The sequence below is a fragment of the Homo sapiens genome, chromosome 3 (genome assembly GCF_000001405.40).
Source record: "Homo sapiens chromosome 3, GRCh38.p14 Primary Assembly".
Lineage (NCBI taxonomy): Eukaryota > Metazoa > Chordata > Mammalia > Primates > Hominidae > Homo > Homo sapiens.
Genome location: NC_000003.12, coordinates 29,048,358 through 29,069,094, shown reverse-complemented (window position 1 = coordinate 29,069,094; position 20,737 = coordinate 29,048,358). Strand labels below are relative to the sequence as shown.

Genomic DNA, 20,737 nt, shown 5'->3' with positions numbered 1-20,737 from the left:
GGGAATCAGTCACTGATACATGTTTTACTACTGCTGGGTGCCTTTTCTGTTGCCAGAAAGACAAAATTGCCTGATCATCAACAGCATCTGGTATTTCCGCAAATAATCTTCTGATATATTATTATTATTAGGTTTAGTTTGAGTATATTAAGTAATCTCTCTTTTAAAAAGAATTAACCTATATAATAAACTCTTAAACAGAAAAAATATGCAATTCGCCAGAAAATCAACTGAAATTGAACAGAAATTTCAAATAAGAGCCACATTACATTTTTGATTTCTAGAAACAATATTACGCTGTATTGCAGAACAATAAGTACCTAAGTGGCAACACAAAATGCCTTAATAGAGAAATTTCTGAAAGATTAGAAACATTTTTACCCAAAGGAGAAATTTGATAACTCATATCTTCCAACCACCATGATTTCACCAAGAATAATTCAAAATCTGTTGGCTAGATCAACACCAACAGACAAGATTCAAAAGATGCTTCAGAATCTACCATGGTTCAATAGCTGAGTTCTACCTAAATCAATACCAATATTAGTTATATTTTTCCAGACCCAAAAATACTTTTTGTAAGCTGAGCTAAAATTATTATTGCCTAACAATAAATACTTCCATCTGCCTGCACTTAATAATATGAAAGTTACTCGTTTAATGAAGGTTATCCAACTTAGTCTTCATTTAATGAAGGTTATCCAACTTAATCTTCATTACAACACATGATGTGAGCATTATTGTCTCATTTCAAAGTGATTAAAGAATTTATGTATGGTTATACCACAGCTAAGATGTAGGGTTGGGATTCAATCTAAAGTCAAAGGAAGTAGTCTGTCAGCTTCCCCATGCTGCCTCCTATGCCTGTGCAAATGTGAAAGTGATATACTAAAGAGTAAAACCCAAGGATTAAAGGCAAAAATATGCACTTAATAGTAATACCCAGAAGCTTTCTAGTGCCATAGTCATTAATGGAGTTCACCAAATCTCTATGAATCCCTACACTCTGGGCACATGTTAGATTTGCACTCTTTTCTTGCATGGTGGGATAGGGTCAAGTGGTAGATCTGGCTACTGAGGGGAGAGAAGTGACATGTGAATTAGTTACTTGGTGAAAGAATGGCCAAAATCTTTTTTCCTCCTGGCAGTAATCAGCAAAGTTAAACATGGTAGATGCTCCATCAGCCTGAGTTCTGGACTGACTAACCTGGAAACAATAGGAGAGTCCCTGCTTGCCCATGATAGATAGGTAGTGTTAGCCAGAAATAAATTGTTGATTTAAGCCTCTGATACTTAGGGTTGTTGACTACAGCAGCATGATCTATCATATCCTGATACTCATGATGTTCATTTCTCTCCAAGAGAAGACCTTTTGTAGGTTGTACCAAATCCATACATTACTCTACCTATAAGAAGTAACTAACCTCAACATTGCAACAAATCACAGGGAAGGCTAAACCATATATGTCCAAAAAGCAGAACTGACTTTTATCTGGACATAAATAGAATGAGAAGACATTTCCAGGTAATAAAAATATAGTAAATATGATTGTGTTTCTCATATCAGGGAGTTTCAGGGTTTTTTGTTGTTGTTGTTTTTGAGATGGGGTCTCGCTCTGTTGCCCAGGCTGGAGTGCAGTGGCGTGATCTCGGCTCACTGCAACCTCTACCTCCCAGGTTCAAGCAATTCTCATTCCTCAGCCTCCGGAGTAGCTGGGATTATAGGCGTGAGCCACTGCACCTGGCCGACTTTTGGTTATTGTTAAAATTAATTTCCAATCTATCACAGACCCAACATACTATCTCACTATGTGAGTTTATATGATCACACCAGTTCGTAGCTAGAGATCATGATGACTAGTTCATAGCTAGTGACTCTATGACTCACCACATGAATTTGACAACACCTCAAGCTGTTTGATGAGACATGCTTAGATGCTGTGACATTACAAAATTGTTATTAAAATTTCTAAAAGCTTATTTTTAATTTCTATACCTATTTTGTTACAGACCAGTAATCAAATGGTTGTAGTCATTCACCAGTTTAGGAAATCATACTTTGAGTAGCACTGCTGAACATAACCAAACTTCCTTGGCTTGTGTTTAAAGTAAACTTTTCATTTGGGTAACCAGAAACTCAGGATTTTCCATAACTGGTTAACATAACTGATATAAACACTGTGTTGAATATTATGGGGTAACAACAACATAAACAGCCTGAATAGTATTAGCAAAACTTTGGAGATGAAATGAGCAATCTGTATGCTGAAGATCATAAATATTTCCCTTAGCCATAATTATGAAGCATTTTACTAATTCCTAATGGGAAAGAATTAATAGTTAAGGTAAAAAACAGCTTGTATATGATGTATAGTTCATTGCATAGAAAACACTCTTAGAGACAGAGTAAACTACACATAGTTCTTACTCCCTAGCCTAGGCCTGGTCTTCTTAGGTATTCTTTTGTGGTCTTAAAAAACAATTGCTATAGAGATACTAAATACATTGTATAGATAATCCTGGACAGTGGACTCTAGATTGACAGTTGTCATCAGAGTTCTGGTACCCAGTTTGAGGAGACAGAGCAAAAACAACTTAGAAAGTTGCCTTAGCATAGTTTATTCCTATTTAAGCTCTCTACACCTTATAATCTTTATTTTTAAATTGGTATGTACATACACACATACATACATACATATATAACATCTATGTATGTATACTAGGGTTTCCCAACCTTCGTATTATTGACATTTCAGGCCAGTAATCCTTTGCTATGGGAGCTATTCTATTGATTGTAGGATATTTAAAAGCTCCCCCAGGACTCTAACCACTGGATACCAGTATCATGGCCCCAGTTGTGACAACCAATATCCACTGAGATATTGCCAAGTGTCCTATGGAAGATTGCTACCATTTGAAAATTACTGTTATATATAATATATATTATATATGTTAATATACTATGAATTTTAATAATTTTATTGATTTCTTGGAAAAACATGCATAAATCCATTAAGATTAGAAAGCAGACACTTTTTTTAAGAAAGCAGAATGGATCAAGATATTTAGTCTCACTTTTTCAATATTTTATATTTTATACAAGTATTTTAAAGGTACATACATCACATCCTGATGTGATGTACATACAACACACAATATTAGGCAAAGGTCTCTGTCAAGCAAATTTCCAAATATCACTAAAAAATAAATGCTAGATATAAAATGTTTATTCAATGTAGATGGGAAGGGAAAAATAATGTCAAGACATGTGGGTTGCATATCTACATTCTAATATATGGAAAGACTAGTCAGAAGACATTTTTAAACTTTCCTCCCAGGACTAGAGGCACTGCACCTTTAAATGGAGCTAGCTGCAGTAACCTGCAGAACTCTCATGGAATGTGGAGTGTTCCGGGATTCTGTCTAGTCAGGCCTCTGGCAGGGCTGTGGCAGCTTTGTTTGTGGGCAGGCAGCCTCCTCACATTTCTGTTACTTTATCCTTAAGGAAGTTGCCATGGAGACTGGCATGGAGATGGCAGTTGGCCAGGCAAAGAGTTTTAAGTTGAAAAAAACAACACATTCACACACACTCAAGCTCTTACTCACACATACTCCCAAAATAAACACATCCTTGTGTGTACATAATCAACTTTAAAAAAATACACTTAGCGTCATTGCCTATTTGGGTAAATGGTTAAACCTTTGTTTCTTTTCTAACTTGACCCAAAAAACACCATCAGAAAAAGAGCAGTTAATGAAGTAGGAAAATAGCACCTATTAAAAGTAATCCATCACAGCTCATGAACACCCAGCTAGTAGGCATCTGATTGCAAAATCTGTTTTCTTGGCAAAGGAGTCATGAGAAGGAAAACTAAAGTGATACAGTAAATGAAGAATTTCTTCATTTGGTGAAAACAAATGTGATTTGGTCAACTTAAATATTATCAAAAGTGGTCCAACATTTTATTTTATTTTCATAAACAAAATGTAAAAATAACACAGAGCTTTGAAGATTTGTTTTTTAATTTTGGGAGGGCAGCAGAATTGAAATCTTCTTTAGCATTCTGAAAAGCCTCAGATTTTATCCAATCTTTGTATATGGAGTACTTTCCACAGCAGCCTTCAAACTCAAGGTATTTGGTCAAAAACAATGATAAAATTCTGAAGTACATCTAGGTTGGTTAGAGAGAAATTCATGAAAGTCATAAATCCTTGAGAATTATCCCAAAACAGCATCAGAGATTTGAATGCTACTAGTGCATAAATTGCTTAGTGTTTACTTAGAAAACAAATCTCCATATGCAGTATGCACTTCATAAAACTAAAGCTTTCAATGTACTTTTATTTCAGCATGGACAATATGCAAGAAAGTATTGCTGTAATTCAGATTATTAGATTATGAACTGTACAAACAAGCATCAAACAGTAAAAGAAAATGGAAGGAAACGTTTTCAAAATGAAATGTTTCTTTCTGTTATGAAAGTAGTGTTGACAATCCAAAGATTTGTGTTTCCATATGTAACCAACTGAATAACACAACACTGACTATTGTGAATTTTATGTTTTTTTCCCCTCTCTCTTCAAAGGACAAACTGCCTTGGAGGTATTGTTGAGTGGGCTTCTGTGTGATAAGCCAACCCAAAACAGTTCACTTAAGGATTAAGTTGAAGCTTTGTTTTCAAGGTTTAGGGAACACTGCACAGCCTCACTTTATAATTACCACATGTATGACAAACCCTAGTGTTTTATAGTCCTTCTGATGACCAGCTGTGCATGGATTTTACATGGTCCTTTTGTCAGTATATAAATACAACCTGCTGAGGTTATGAGGAAACCACACAGTTATTAGTGTTGGTATGCACCATGAAAATGCTATTCAAATCAGCTTGTGGTTGACGTATTAGTTACTACATCAGAACCACTGATCTCTATTTTATTACTTCCCTGATGAATGACATAACACAACAAAAAAGTAGGAGTCTGCCTAGACAGATGTAATTTATCCAAACCGTCTGTTTCTATAACCCACAGAAGCAGATACTAAGTATTTTCCCCACATATATGACCATGGAAAATGATTGCAATAACATGAAATGTTACCACAGTGTTAATGACAATCCACTATACTGAGAGAAAAATCGATTAAAATCAGTTTTATTTTTCTTTTAAGGTGAAAGGCATACATTGCAATAAAGAGGTGTTGGGCTTTTATAGAGCACAGAGTAAAAACGAAGTTTTCACTCTATGACATGACAATTCTAATTGTTTTCTTTCATAAATTTACATGTACATGATTAGCAGCTTAATTTTCACAAAGCAGTCCTCAAAGACATCTTGGAAAACATGTCTTAGAAGTTCAGTTAAAACACCACCACCACTGCCATTACCACTCTCCCTCCTCTCATACCCATCTCTAACCTTTGGGCATTATTTTCAGCAGGAATGGATGTGAAGATGTTCAATAAGGGCTATGGCTTTTAACTTTTCACAATTGAAATGAACATTGTGCCTGAAAGTCTCCACTGACACATTAGACTTTGACATTCCTTCAATTAAAAGATTTACAAGTTAAAAGGATTATGAAGTTAGTTAACTTAAAAGGTATGCTTTCCTTCCCTGACATAAGGCAAAAAAAAAAAAAAAATGGATAGGCATTTTATCACAAATTATTTGGTTTATATAAATAGAAGCATTTTTTTCTAAAAGAGATGTTAAAACTGGAGTCATTTCAAAATGTATGTTTCCATTGAAAACCTTGGCCATCATTAGGATTAGGATGCTGGTTTGTGTTTGTTTTACTCATCCTCCTACCTACTCCATCTTTAAACATTTCTCCAGATTCTTGGGATATCCATTTCTCCTGCCACCTCTATCCTCACCCCTTGAAACCAGATTGAAGTTTTCTTTCATCAGGCCACATTCTACCATTTTGTCTTTTCTAATAAAACTTACCTGTCTTACATTTCATTCCTCTAGAGCTTTGCCCTCCATTACCTAAAATGGGGTCTAATTGTGTGGTCATGTAATCTAAACATGGCTAATAGCTGAGAATGAATTGGTTGGCTTGCTGTCCTGAGCCAACATAACTGCCAGGCACAGTAGGCGCAGTGTTGAGGGGCTACAATACTGCCAGGAACCTACAAAAAAACTTTTATCTTTTTAATTAGAAGAAAAAAATGAACTTTTAGGTCACAATAAGTGTTTTATTGCATATTATCAGTACATTTGTCTTCATAACAACAGACCCTTAAAATATAATTTTTAAGTTTTTATGGACGAAGAGCCCCATGAAGGCAAAAGTACCTGTGACCCACAAATTTATAATGCAGGACTGTTACTATCTAGTGACTTATGCCACTTGATTGGAAATCCTCATTTATTAATTCCTCTATTTTATGCCACATGTTTCTAATCATTTTCAAATAACTTTTATGGTATGCAAACTGTTTTCAGAAAGAGAAAAAATTCTGAGAGAAATATCCTGAGGAAGGCTTTTTAAAATGACTTTTTTTCAATAACTTTAGAAGTACAAGTTTTTTTTTGCTATGTGGATGAATTGTATAGTAGTGAAATCTGGGATTTTAGTGTACCCATCACCCAAGTAGTATATATTGTATTCCAACAGGTAGTTTTTCATCCCTCACCCCCTCTTTCTAAATTTCCAATGTTCATTATACCTCTCTGTCTACCTTTGCATGCCCATAGCATTCTCACTTACAAGTGAGAACATATGGTATTTGGTTTTTCATTCCTGAGTTACTTTACTTAAAATAATGACCTCCGGTTCCATGTTGCTGCAAAAGACATTATTTCATTCTTTTTATAACTGAGTAGTATTCCATGACATAAATATATACCACATTTTCCTTACCCACTCTTTGGTTGATGGGCACTTAGGTTGATTCTATATCTTTGCAATTGTGAATTGTGTTGCGAGAAGCATGCATGCAGGTGTCTTTTTTTAATATAATGATTTTTTTCTTGCCTAAAGAGATAGCCAGTAGTAGGTTGCTGGATCAAATGGGAGATTTACCTTTAGTTCTCTGAGAAGTCTCCATACTGTTCTCCATAGAGATTGTACTAAGTTACATTCCCACCAGCAGTGTTAGCACTCCCTTTTCACCATATCTGTGCTAACATCTATTGTTTTTTGACTTTTTAATAATGGCCATTGTGGCTAGGGTAAGGTAGTATCTCATTGTGGTTTTCATTTGCATTTCCCTGATGATTAGTGATATTGAGCATTTTTTCATAATTTTGTTGGCCATTTGTACATTTTCTTTTGAGAAATGTCTGTCATTTGCCAACTTTTTTATTTTTGTATTTTTTTATTTCAGTAGGTTTTTTGGGAACAGGTGCTTTGGTTACATAAAAAAGTTCTTTAGTGGTGATTTCTGAGATTTTGGTGCACCCATCACTTGAGCAGTATACACTGTACCCAATGTATAGTCTTTCATCCCTCTCCCCACTCCCACCCTCCCAAATTCCCAAGGTCCTCTGTATCATTCTTATGTCTTTGTGGCCTCATAGCTTAGCTCCCACTTATGAGTCAGAACATACAACGTTTGGTTTTCCACTCCTGAGTTACTTTACTTAGAATAATGGTCTCCAATTCCATCCAGGTTGCTGTGAATGTCATTATTTCATTCTTTTTCATGGCTGAGTAGTATTCTATTATATATATATATATATATATATATATATATATATATATATCACATTTTCTTTATCTATTCATTGATTGATGGCCATTTGAGCTGGTTCCATGTTTTTACAATTACAAATTGTGCTGCTGTAAACATGTATAAGTATCTTTTTCAAATTATGACTTCTTTTTCTCTGGGTAGATACCCAGCAGTGAGACTACTGGATCAAATGGTAGATCTACTTTTAGTTCTTTAAGGAATCACTACACTGTTTTCCATAGTGGTTATACTAGTTTACCTAAAAGTGTTCCCTTTTCATCACGACCACACCAACATCTATTCTTTTCTGATTTTTTTACTATGGCCATTCTTGCAGGAATGTGGTGGTATCGCATTGTGGTTTTGATTTGTATTTCACTGATAAGTAGTGATGTTGAGCATTTTTTCATATGTTTTTTGGCCATTTGTGTATCTACTTTTGAGAATTGTCTATACATGTCCCTAGCCCACTTTTTGATGGGATTCTTTGTTTTTTCTTGCTGATTTGTTTGAATTCCTTATAGATTCTGTATATTAGTCCTTTGTCAGATGTACAGATTGTGAAGTTTTTCTCCCACTCTGTGGGTTGTCTGTTTACTCTGCCCACTTTCACCATTTATTTTCACTGTAGTACTGGAAATTCTAACTAGAGCAATCAGACAAGAGAAAGAAATAAAGGGCACCCAGTCAAACTGTCACTGTTTGCTGATGACATGATTGTATACCTGGAAATATCCTAAAGATTCATCCAAAAAGCTCCCAGAACTGGTAAATGAATTTAGCAAAGTTTCAGGATACAAAATTAACATACACAAATCAGTAGCTCTGCTATACACCAACAGCGATCAAGCTGAGAATCAAATCAGCTTTATTTCTTTTGCTGTGCAGAAGCTTTTTAGTTTAAGTCACATCTATTTATCTTTGCTTTTGTTGCATTTGCTTTTGGGTTCTTCGTCATGAAGTCTTTGCCTAAGTCAAAGTCTAGAAGGGTTTTTCCAATGTTATATTCTAGAATTTTTATTGTTTCAGGTCTTAGATTTAAGCCTTTGATCCATCTTCAGTTAATTTCTGTGTAGGGTGAGAGATGAAGATCCAGTTTCATTATTCTACTTGTGGCTTGCCAATTATCCCAGCACTATTTGTTGAAGAGGACGCCTTTTCCCCACTTTATGCTTTTGTTTGCTTTGTTGAAGATCAGTTGACTGTAAGTACTTAGTTCGGGGTTCTCTATTCCGTTCCATTGGTCAATATGCCTATTTTTATACCGATACCATTCTGTTTTGGTGTTTATGGCCTTATCGTATAGTTTGAAGTCGGGTAATGTAATGCTTCCAGATTTGTTTTCTTTGCTTAGTCTTGCTTTGGCTGTGCAGGCTCTTTTTTGGTTCTACACGAATTTTAGGATTGCTTTTTCTAGTTCTGTGAAGAATGATGGTGGTATTTTGATGGAAATTGTATTGACTTGTAGATTGCTTTTGGCAGCATGGTCATTTTCACAATATTGATTCTACCAATCCATGAGCATGAGATGTATTTCCATTTGTTTGTGTCATCTATGATTTCCTTCAACAGTGTTTTGTAATTTTCCTCGTAGAAGTCTTTTACCTCCTTGGTTAGCTATATTCCTAAGTTTTTTTGTTTGTTTTTGCTGTTGTTGTTTTTTGTTTTTGTTTTTGTTTGCAGCTATCGTTAAAGGGGTTGAGTTCTTGATTTGATTCTCAGCTTGATCGCTGTTGGTGTATAGCAGAGCTACTGATTTGTGTACGTTAATTTTGTATCCTGAAACTTTGCTAAATTCATTTACCAGTTCTGGGAGCTTTTTGGATGAATCTTTAGGATATTTCCAGGTATACAATCATGTCATCAGCAAACAGTGACAGTTTGACTGGGTGCCCTTTATTTCTTTTTCTTGTTTGATTGCTCTAGTTAGAATTTCCAGTGCTACAGTAAAAATAAATGGTGAAAGTGGGCATCCTTGTCTTGTTCCAGTTCTCAGAGGGAAGGCTTCCAACTTTTCCCCATTCAGTACAATGTGGGCTGCGGGTTTGTCATAGATGCCTTTTATTAGTTTAAGGTATGTCTCTTCTATGCCTATTTTGCTGATGGTTTTAATCATAAAGGAATGCTGGATTTTGTCAAATGCTTTTTCTGTGTCTATTGAGATAGTCATGTGGTTTTTGTTTTCAATTCTGTTTATGTGGTGTATCACATTTATTCACTTGCATATGTTAAACCATCCCTGCATCCCTGGTATGAAACCTATTTGATCATAATGGATTATCTTTCTGATATGTTGTTGGATTTGGTTAGCAAGTATTTTGTTCAGAATTTTAGCATGTATGTTTATCAGGGATATTGGTCTAGTAGTTTTCTTTTTTTGTTATGTCCTTTCATGGTTTTGGTATTCATAGGATGGTTTAGGGAGGATTCCCTCTTTCGCTCTTTTGGAATAGTGTCAATATGATTGCTACCAATTTTTCTTTGGATGTCTGGTCAAATTCAGTTGTGAATCCTTCTGGTCCTGGATTTTTTTTTTTGTTTTTGTTGGTAACTTTTAAATTACCATTTCAATCTTGGTGCTTGTTATTGGTCTGTTCAGAATTTCTATTTGTTCCTGGTTTAATCTAGGAGAGTTGTATATTTCTAGAAATTTACCCACCTCCTCTGAGTTTTCTAGTTTATGCACGCAAAGGTGTTCATAGTAGCCTTGAATGATCTTTTGTATTTCTGTGGTATTGGTTGTAATATTTCCTGTTTCATTTCTAATTGAGCTTATTTGGATCTTCTCTCTTCTTTTCATAATTAATCTTGCTAATGGTCTATAAATTTTATTTATCTATTCAAAAAACCAGCTTTTTGTTTCATTTATCTTTTGTATTTTTTTGTTTTGTTTTGTTTCAATTTCATTTGGTTCTCCTCTGATCTTGGTTATTTCTCTTCTGCTGCTGGGTTTATTGCTTCCTTGATTGGCTTAATAATCGACGTCTGAATTCTTTTTCTGGCAATTCAGAGATTTCTTCTTAGTTTGAATCCATTGCTGGTGAGCTAGTGTGATCTTTTGGGGTTGTTAAAAAAGCTTATTTTGTCATTTAACCAGAATTGTTTTTCTGGTTCCTTCCCATTGGGGTAGACTATATCAGATTCTTTTGTCCCACGGGGGTGCTTTCTTGATGTGGTACTCTCCCCTCTCCCCTAGGGATGGGGCTTCCTGAGCTGAACTGCAGTGATTACTATTTCTCTTCTGGATCTAGCCACCCAGAGGAGCTACCAGGCTCTGAGCTAGGACTGGAGAGTGTCTGCAAAGAGTCCTGTGATGTGATCCATCTTCAGGTCTCTCAGCCATCGACACCAGCACCTACTCTGGTGGAGGTATCAAAGGAGTGAAGTAAACTCTGTCAGAGTCCTTGGTTGTATTTCTGTTATGTACACAGGTTTTGTGCTGGTTGGCTTCTAATCAGGAGGTGGAGCTTTCAAGAGCTTATTAGCTGTAGTTGTACAGGGAGGATACAAACTTGCCCTAGGGTCACATTTGGATAAGTATTCAAGTTTCTCAGGTGGTGGTCAGGGCCACAGAGCTCCTAAGAGACTATTTCCTTTGTCTTCAGCTACCCAGGCAAGTAGACAAAGACCATCAGGTGGGGGCAGGGTTAGGTGTATCTGAGCTCAGACTCTCCCTGGGTGGGGTTTGTTGTGGCTGCTCTGGGGGTTGGGGGTGTGGTTCCCAGGCCAATGGAGTTATGTTCCCAGGGGATTATGGCTGCCTCCACTGCATCACAAAGGTATCCAGGGAAGGTGGGGGGAAAGCCAGCAGCCACAGGCCTCATCTAGCTCCCAAGCAGCCTACAGCCTTTTGAAAGGCCAGTCTTACTCTCCCAACAGCACTGAGTTTATTCCCAGGCAGCCAGTGAGCAGGGCTGTGAATTTACCCCAGGCTACAAGCCTCCTAGTTGAGAAAGCAAGCTGACTCACAGTTCCTTGGCTGTCCAATGGAGCCTGCAGTGGCAATCCACCTCCTTCAAAGGGTCTGTGGCTTCTCTTGGCTTTCCTGGTATGTTCCTGTGGTAGTTCATGGAGAAAATGTTCATGATGTAAATCTCTACATGCTGCTCTGTCCACGTAAGTGGGAGCTACAAGTTAGTCCTGCAGCCTGTTAAAGCAAACTAAATATGGCCTGAGAAGGACTCCATATTTCTATATTTGAGTCCTTGTGGATAAACTGTAACCTAGCTTAATAGTCAGACAAAATTGAAAACCTAACTTACTTATATGCACCCATAACAATAGCTGAGTGTTGGCCAATCCAAGTGGCCATACTTCAACCACTCATAGACTGCTGAGTGTTCAAACTGCATTCAAAAAAGGCAAACACCAAGCTGTAACCAATCTCGCTGTTTCTGTACCTCACTTCTGATTCCTGTATGTCACTTTATCTTTTTTGTCTATAAATTTGTTCTGACCTCAAGGCACCTCTGGAGTCACTGTGAATCTGCTTGATTCTGGAGGCTGCCTAACTCACGAATCATTAATTGCTCAATTAAACTTCTTTAAATTTAATTCAGCTGAAGTTTTTCTTTTATCAGATGGTGTCAGAAGTGGGATCCCAAGCAGAGCTTCTAGGGACCCCCAGGAGTGCCAAGTGAACATGCAAGCTACCTTCAGGACCCACTTGTGTCCATGGATCTCTCAAAGCAGCTGAGGATTGTGGGTAAGCCCCTCTCAGATTTTGGAGCTCCATAGATTTGTGTTTTGAACTCTACAAGTTTCTTTGAGCAAATTTCTGATCCAAATTGGGTTTGGAGTTATCACACAAACTGGACTGGGTACAGGAACAGAGATTTGATCTGGGAATTAATTGGCTTTGATCCAGGTAGAGACCTCTTACATCTGACTGGGTCAGAAAGGAACTGGTAGTAAGCAGTAATATTGCAGGGGTTATAAAATTTGGCTTTTGAAAATTCACAGGGATTTTTGTGTTCTACCCCTTTGTTTCATTTTTCTTGTGTGCTTAGATAGGAAAAAAATTACTGGCTAAGTTAATCAAGAGAACCTGAGAGTAAAGCCAATATTTAGGTAAAAATGAGATCCTTAATTTCTGGAAAACTGATTTCTTTTTGGCTTATACTTTAGACCTGGGAGGCAATGAAGTCTTACAGAAATGGCAAAATCTTACTAAAGATAACTTACAGTGGAATATTCCAAAGGAACAACAGTGCACTGAAATACATTTAAAAATGAGCGCTCTTGGTAAAGTCCCTTTCAACTAAGAACAGGTTTGGCACTACAGGATGTTAAATGCTATTCTCTTTGGAATAATCTGCCTTGCACTCTCTGCTGACAGCTGTGGGTGACAGGATTAGGCATATACAGGATTGTGGGTTATGGAGGGCTTTTTCCTCCCTGAAAGGGGAAATGAGAGCTGATGAGACTGCTGGAAAAAATCGCTTTGCTACCGAGAAGCAGCAACCTGAAATTACCAGTGTTGCTGCCATGGGTGGACCTTTCTCTGGCCTCCCTGATCATTTCAGCTTCCCCATCCTGCCACAGATAATGTGTTTCTCTCTCTCCTTTCCCTTTCTTATCTTTTCTGTTACGCAGGGCAACCATCTTGTCCAGAGACCACGTATTGAAACTCCTAGACTGAGGTTGGATTAAAGATGATGGGGCCCCCAGTGCAAAAACATACCAAATTGTAAAGGCTATCAACACTATGAAGAAACTTCATCAACTAATGAGCAAAATAACCAGCTAGCATCATAATAACAGGATCAAATTCACACATAACAATATTAGCCTTAAATGTAAATGGGCTAAAGGGCCCAATTAAAAGACACAGACTGGCAAATTGGATAGAGTCAAGACCCATCAGTGTACTGTATTCAGGAGACCCATCTCATGTGCAAACACACACATAGGCTCAAAATAAAGGGATCGAGGAATATTTACCAAGCAAGTGGAAAGCAATAAAAAAAGCAAGGGTTACAATCCTAGTCTCTGATAAAATAGACTTTAAAACAACAAAGATCAAAAGAGACAAAAAAGGGCATTACATAATGGTAAAAGGATCAATGCAACAAGAAGAGCTAACTATCCTAAAAATATGTGTACACAATACAAGAGCACCCAAATTCATAAAGCAAGTCCTTATAGACATACAAAGAGACTTAGACTCTCACACAATCATAGTGGGAGATTTTAACACCCCACGATGAATATTAGACAGATCGGTGAGACAGATAATTAACAAGGATATTCAGGACTTGAACTCAGCTCTAGACCAAGCAGACCTAACAGACATCTACAGAACTCTCCACCACAAATCAACAGACTATACATTCTTCTCAGCACCACATCACACTTATTCTAAAATTGATCACATAATTGGAAGTAAAACACTCCTCAGCAAATGTAAAAGAATAGAAATCATAAAAAGGTCTTTCAGACCACAGTGCAATCAAATTAGAACTCAGGATTAAGAAACTCACTCAAAATCACACAACTACATGGAAACTGAAAACCTGCTCCTGAATGACTACTGGGTAAATAACGAAATTAATGTAGAAATAAAGATGTTCTTTGAAACCAATGAGAAAAAAGACACAACATACCAGAACCTCTGGGACACATTTAAAGCAGTGTGTAGAGGGAAATTTATAGCACTAAATGCCCACAAGAGAAAGCAGGAAATATCTAAAGTTTACACTCTAACATCACATTGAAAAGAACTAGAGAAGCAAGAGCAAACAAACTCAAAAGCCAGCAGAATACAAAAGACAAGAAATAGCTAACAACAGAGCCAAACTGAAGGAGATAAAGACACAAAAAACCCTTCAAAAAAATCAATGAATCCAGGAGCTGTTTTGTTTTTAAAGATCAACAAAATAGACCACTACCAAAACTAATAAGGAAGAAAAGAGAGAAGAATCAAATAGATGCAATAAAAAATGATAAAGGGGATATCACCACCGATCCCACAGAAATACAAACTACCATCAGAGAATACTATAAACACCTCTACATAAATAAACTAGAAAATCTAGAAGAAATGGATAAATTCATGGACACATACACCCTCCCAAGTCTAAACCAGAAAGAAGTTGAATCCCTGAATAGACCAATAACAAGTTCTGAAACTGAGACAGTAATTAATGGCCTACCAACCAAAAAAGTCCAGGACGAGATGGATTCACAGCCGAATTCTACCAGAGGTGCAAAGAGGAGCTGGTACCATTCCTTCTGAAACTATTCCAATCAATAGAAAAAGAGAGAATCCTCCCTAACTCATTTTATGAGGCCAGCATCATCCTGATACCAAAACCTGGCAGAGACACACACAAAAAAAGAAAATTTCAGGCCAATATCCCTGATGAACATTGATGCAAAAATCCTCAGTAAAATACTGGCAAACCAAATCCAGCAGCACATCAAAAAGCTTATCCACCACAATCAAGTTGGCTTCATCCCTGGGATGCAAGGGTGGTTCAACATACACAAATCAATAAACATATCCATCACATAAACAGAACCAAGGACAAAAACCACGTGATTATCTCAATAGATGCAGAAAAGGCCTTTGAAAAAAATTCAACACCCCTTCATGCTAAAAACTCTCAATAAACTAGGTATTGATGGAACATATCTCAAAATAATAAGAGCTATTTATGACAAACACACAGCCAACATCATACTGAATGGGCAAAAGCTGTAAACATTCCCTTTGAAAACCGGCACAAGACAAGGATGCCCTCTCTCAACACTCCTATTCAACATAGTATTGGAAGTTCTGGCCAGGGCAATCAGGCAAGAGAAGGAAATAAAGGGTATTCAAATAGGAAAAGAGGAAGTCACATTGTCTCTGTTTGCAGATGATATGATTGTATATTTGGAAAACCCCATCGTCTCACCCAAAAATCTCCTTAAGCTGATAAGCAACTTCAGCAAAGTCTCAGGATACAAAATCAATGCTCAAAAATCATAAGCATTCCTATACACCAATAACAGACAAACAGAGAGCCAAATCATGAGTTAACGTCCATTCACAATTACTACAATGAGAATAAAATACCTAGGAATACAACTTACAAGGGATGTGAAGGAACTCTTCAAGAGGAACTAAAAACCATTGCTCAAGCAAATAAGAGATGACACAAATTATGGAAAAACATTCCATACTCATGGATAGGAAGAATCAATATTGTGAAAATGGCCATACTGCCCAAAGTTATTTATAGATTCAATGCTATCCCCATGAAGCTACCATTGACTTTCTTCACAGAATTAGAAAATACTACTTTAAATTTAATATGGAACCAAAAAAGAGCCCACATAGCCAAGACAATCCTAAGTAAAAAGAACAAAGCTGGAGGCATCACGCTACCTGACTTCAAACTATACTACAAGGCTACAGTAACCAAAACAGCATGGTACTGGTACCAAAACAGATATATAGACCAATGGAACAGACAGAGGCCTCAGAACTAACACCACACATCTACAACCATCTGATCTTTGACAAACCTGACAAGAATAAGAAATGGGGAAAGAGTTCCCTATTTAATAGATGGTGTTGGGAAAACTGGCTAGCCATATGCAGAAAATTGAAACTGGACCCCTTCCTTAGATCTTATACAAAAATTAACTCAAGATGGATTAAAGACTTAAACGTAAGCCCTAAAACCATAAAAACCCTGCAAGAAAACCTAGGCAATACCATTCAGGACATAGGCATGGGCAAAGACTTCACCAAAAGCAATGGCAACGAAAGCCAAAATTGACAAATGGGATCTAATTAAACTAAAAAGCTTCTGCATAGCAAAAGAAACTACCATCAGAGTGAACAGGCAACCTACAGAATGGGAGAAAATTTTTGCAATCTATCCATCTGACAAAGGGCTAATATCCAGAATCTACAAAGAACTTCAACAAATTTACAAGAAAAAAACAACAATCCCATCAAAAAGTGGGCAAAAGATATGAACAGACACTTCTCAAAAGAAGACATTTATGCAGCCAACAAACATGAAAAAAAGCTCATCACACTGGTCATTAGAGAAATGCAAATCAAAGCCACAATGAGATACCATCTCACACCAGTTAGAATGGCAATCATTAAAAAGTCAGGAAACAACAGATGCTAGAGAGGATGTGGAGAAATAGGAATGCTTTTACACTGTTGATGGGAGTGTAAATTAGTTCAACCTTTGTGGACGACGGTGTAGCAATTCCTCAAGGATCTAGAACTGGAAATACCATTTGACCCAGCAATCCCATTACTGGGCATACACCCAAAGGATTATAAATCATCCTACTCTAAAGAAACATGCACACGTATGTTTATTATGGCACTATTCACAATAGTGAAGACTTTGAACCAACCCACATGCCCATCAATGATAGAATGAATAAAGAAAATGTGGCACATATACGCCATGGAATACTATGCAGCCATAAAGAAGATGAGTTCATGTCCTTTGCAGGGACATGGATGAAGCTGGAAATCATCATTTTCAACACACTAACACAGGAACAGAAAACCAAACACCACATGTTCACACTCATAAGTGGGAGTTGAACAATCAGAACACATGGACACGGCTGGGCAGGGGAGCATCACACACTGGGGCCTGTCGGGGGATGGGGGATTAGGGAAGGGTTAGCATTAGGAGAAATACCTAATGTAGATGATGGGTTGATGGGTACAGCAAACCACCATGGCACGTGTATACCTACGTAACAAACCTGCATGTTCTGCACATGTACCCCAGAACTTAAAATATAATTAAAAAAAAAAGATGACAGTGCCCCATTGGAGGGCAAATTTAAGCCTCGCCAGTTTGATATTGGGTGCTAAGCAGAGTGGCTAATGTCTGTTTTATCACATGTATTTTGCTCTGGCCAGAACGAAAAAAAAGAATTTTCCTTTATGATGAGGCTTGCCCGAGGTCAATTGTGCCACAAGCCAGATCACTAGGGTCGCTCAGGGAAAGGGAACCCAGAAGCCTGGCATGCTGGCAAAAGGGTAAGAATTTCTTACAAGTCAGATTTCTGGCTTCTACCTCTGTGTGAAAATGGTTGAATGAATAGTTAAAAAAAAAAAAAAGGGTTTATCTCCTCTATAAAGTTTTGATTAATGAGAGAAAAGAAAGGAGACAGTCAGTTGGCCTCATGCTACTTTCATTGGGTCTTGTTTGGAAAGCTGAGTCTCCTCTCTGTCAGAATAATGTTTTTTTCTTTTAAAAATTTTCAAGTTATCATTTTGGCTAAATGAGTGATTTATGGTAACCTAAGACTCTATTTTGTAATAGCCAATGTTTAAACCTTTGGTATTTAACAAACCTTTCAAAATCAAGCTCTACATTATTATGCTAATCAGCCAATATTGAAATTATTTACATATACAGTTTGAATGAACTCCATGGTCTAAGTCAAATTACCTATGAAACCATAAAAATTCTAGAAGAAAACCTAAGAAAAGCTCTTCTAGATGTTGGCTTAGGCAAAGAATTTATGATGAAGAGATGCTTTTTAATGACAATCTGTGAATAATCAAACTGGAAATGCTTAATCTTTACCAAATCTGAGTGATTATTGTCAGGTCTAGGATATACTCCTTAATCATGATGATATGGATAGTAATAGTCACATTTGCAATAGTATTTTCATAATCTTTGTTTATGAGAAAATGTATCCTTTTAAAATATCTCCCAAAATAGTGAGTAGTATAACTCCCTGCCCCCGCATGACCAATTTCTTAGAGTTACCCTTATAAAATCTAGCATTACTCTTATATTTTCTATTATTATTTTTGAATGGTAAGTAATGAGGCTTGTATGACGGTGATCTTATGTTTAAAGATTTTTAGAAATCATACTATATTAGAATTTTTTTAAAACTTCAAAATTCAGCTCTTTTATCTTTCATGTGACCAATGACATACAGCTCTAAAACACAAAGCAAAAAAAAAAAAAAAAAAAAAAAAAAAGACAAAACGGAAATCAGAGACAGAGGTGAACATGAATATAAACTTTCATCAGTAAGCATAATGTATATGTCAGGACTGAGTCATAAGCACCAGAAACCCAACTTGTACTATATAAAGGAAAAGAAGAGAATTTATTAGCTCACAGATTCCAAAGAGGGGGTCAATAACTGAACCCCAAGAAGGAAGATACACAAAAGGCTTTGAGGACCACTGGAATGCCTTCAGGATTTATTATCTTTGTTAATTTCCTTCGCTTTTCTCTGTGAAAGAGAAACCCAAATTTACAAAGAAAGTGGAAGAAGTGGGATTCTCAAGCAGAGCTTTTAATCACTGCTACACAGAATGTTACTAACAGTGAAAATGGTGAGTACATTCCAGGAATCACATCAAAATTGAGTATTTCAGAAAACTCATATCCCATTAATTTTCTGGGTCAAAACTGAAATTTGTAATTGAAATAGTCAACAAAACATCAGGTGTTATGAAATTTAGACAAGGGTATTTTTCCTCTTTGAAATGTGGCCCTTGGAGCTATGTCTATGTGGCCAGCTGTTAGTATTTGCCAACAGTGATCAACCTTTCATCAGAAGATGGGACCTTGGAAATGATTTACCTCAGATTTGAAAGTTATTGGGAAACCCATGCTTATATGTATAGGAAATGAAAGTACAAAGATATACAGTGTTTCATCATCAAAGTCATTACACTGGCATACTGGTTTTCTAGAAATGGTCCTTTCCTGGGTTCCTGTATTTAGGTTTGTATAGGATGAGAAAACAAAGCCTTGCAAAATGAATTGGTTAATAAGTGTGCAAACAAAGATCACCATCTGGGACTAAAATAGCATCTGCTAATAACTTAATTTGTCTTAATATTTTATTTAGCCATAAACATATATCAGTCCTATGAATGGATTTCAATCTAAATAATTTTTTCAGTTGCATTTATTATTTAAGGTGATTAACCAATCATTTTAAAAAGAGCCAATTAAAAATTTTAGTGTTTTAAAAGACAATTCTTACATTCTGTTAACATAAATTTCTGAGGAACGTCTACTTGGTTGGTTGGTCAATTTAGTTTTTACAGTGGAATAAAAAACATTTTAATGAAAGTCAGCTCAGTGGGTAATATGGGAAAAACTGGTTTCTGAGTGGCTAGCAGCAGGGACTCAAAGAATTGGACAGATAAAGCCCACTCTAGTAAATGCTGAAAACAAAACCTTATTTTAAATTTGACATCATTAATTCTACACTCTAAGTATATTTTGTATTCATCTGAATAAAATCAATGGTTGCACATCCAAACGCTTATCATTCTGAAGTATTTTTATGCAGAAGGGTGGAGATTTTTTTTAAATCAGTTTCCCATGATAGCAAGGCTTTAATTTAGATTATACAGAAAATGATTTTGCTTGACATTAAATTACTAAACACAAACCAAGACTAATTTTCTTTTCCTGAATTGATATATTTGAGCAAGTAAGCTTCCCTTTTGCTTTTTCTTTGGCTAAGATGGGGAGGAGATGCAAAGAAGGTGGGAACATAGCCCTGTTTCTACTAAATAGATGCCATTTCAAAAAAAAAGTTTTCTGTAGATCCCTCTCAAAGCCCACTCACTATATAAGCAGACCCTTGATGGCAGTTCTTTTTCATTTTGATGTGGATGGATCCAAAATGAAGAGGCAGCCTAAAGGCAGAACAATACTGGATGAACAACAACCAGAAAAACCCCATCATCGTCATAAGAGCTGCAAATCAAAGCAAGGGTAAGAGAGAAGGAGAATGGACACTGGAGGCCTTTGCTTGGGGCCAGCCCTCACTACAAAGCAGGGTAAGCTTGATTTATGTTCAGTTCAATAAAAAGTGTGTATTCACTATCTTTATTTAAAAAACAGAGAGTAAACAGAGCAGAAGGAATAGGTATCACAAAATAGAAAAACGGGAAATGGACTGGTGATCAGAAAGCAAAATGCCCAAATTCTTCAGAACACTGACTCCACTGGGGTCGGGGACTGCACAGCACCAAGCTACAGGCCTGAGGGCCAGTAGCTCCTTCACACATCTGAGGTGCTTTG

The 20,737-nt window shown here is 36.7% G+C and overlaps 1 long non-coding RNA gene across 3 annotated transcripts; it reads left to right on the top strand.

The window, feature by feature from the left end:
- Positions 1 to 10,134: 10,134 nt before the first annotated feature.
- LOC105377009 (uncharacterized) lies at positions 10,135 to 20,427 on the top strand. 3 transcript variants are annotated; one of them, XR_001740425.2, is made up of 3 exons: positions 10,135 to 11,733; positions 12,266 to 12,390; positions 20,343 to 20,427. It is a non-coding gene; the product is annotated as an uncharacterized LOC105377009 (long non-coding RNA). The 3 variants fall into 3 exon arrangements; XR_940675.3 differs by lacking the exon at positions 20,343 to 20,427 and adding an exon at positions 13,281 to 14,131; XR_940677.3 differs by lacking the exon at positions 20,343 to 20,427 and adding an exon at positions 13,281 to 13,368 and having other exon boundaries at positions 10,135 to 11,707.
- The last annotated feature ends 310 nt before the right edge of the window (positions 20,428 to 20,737 follow it).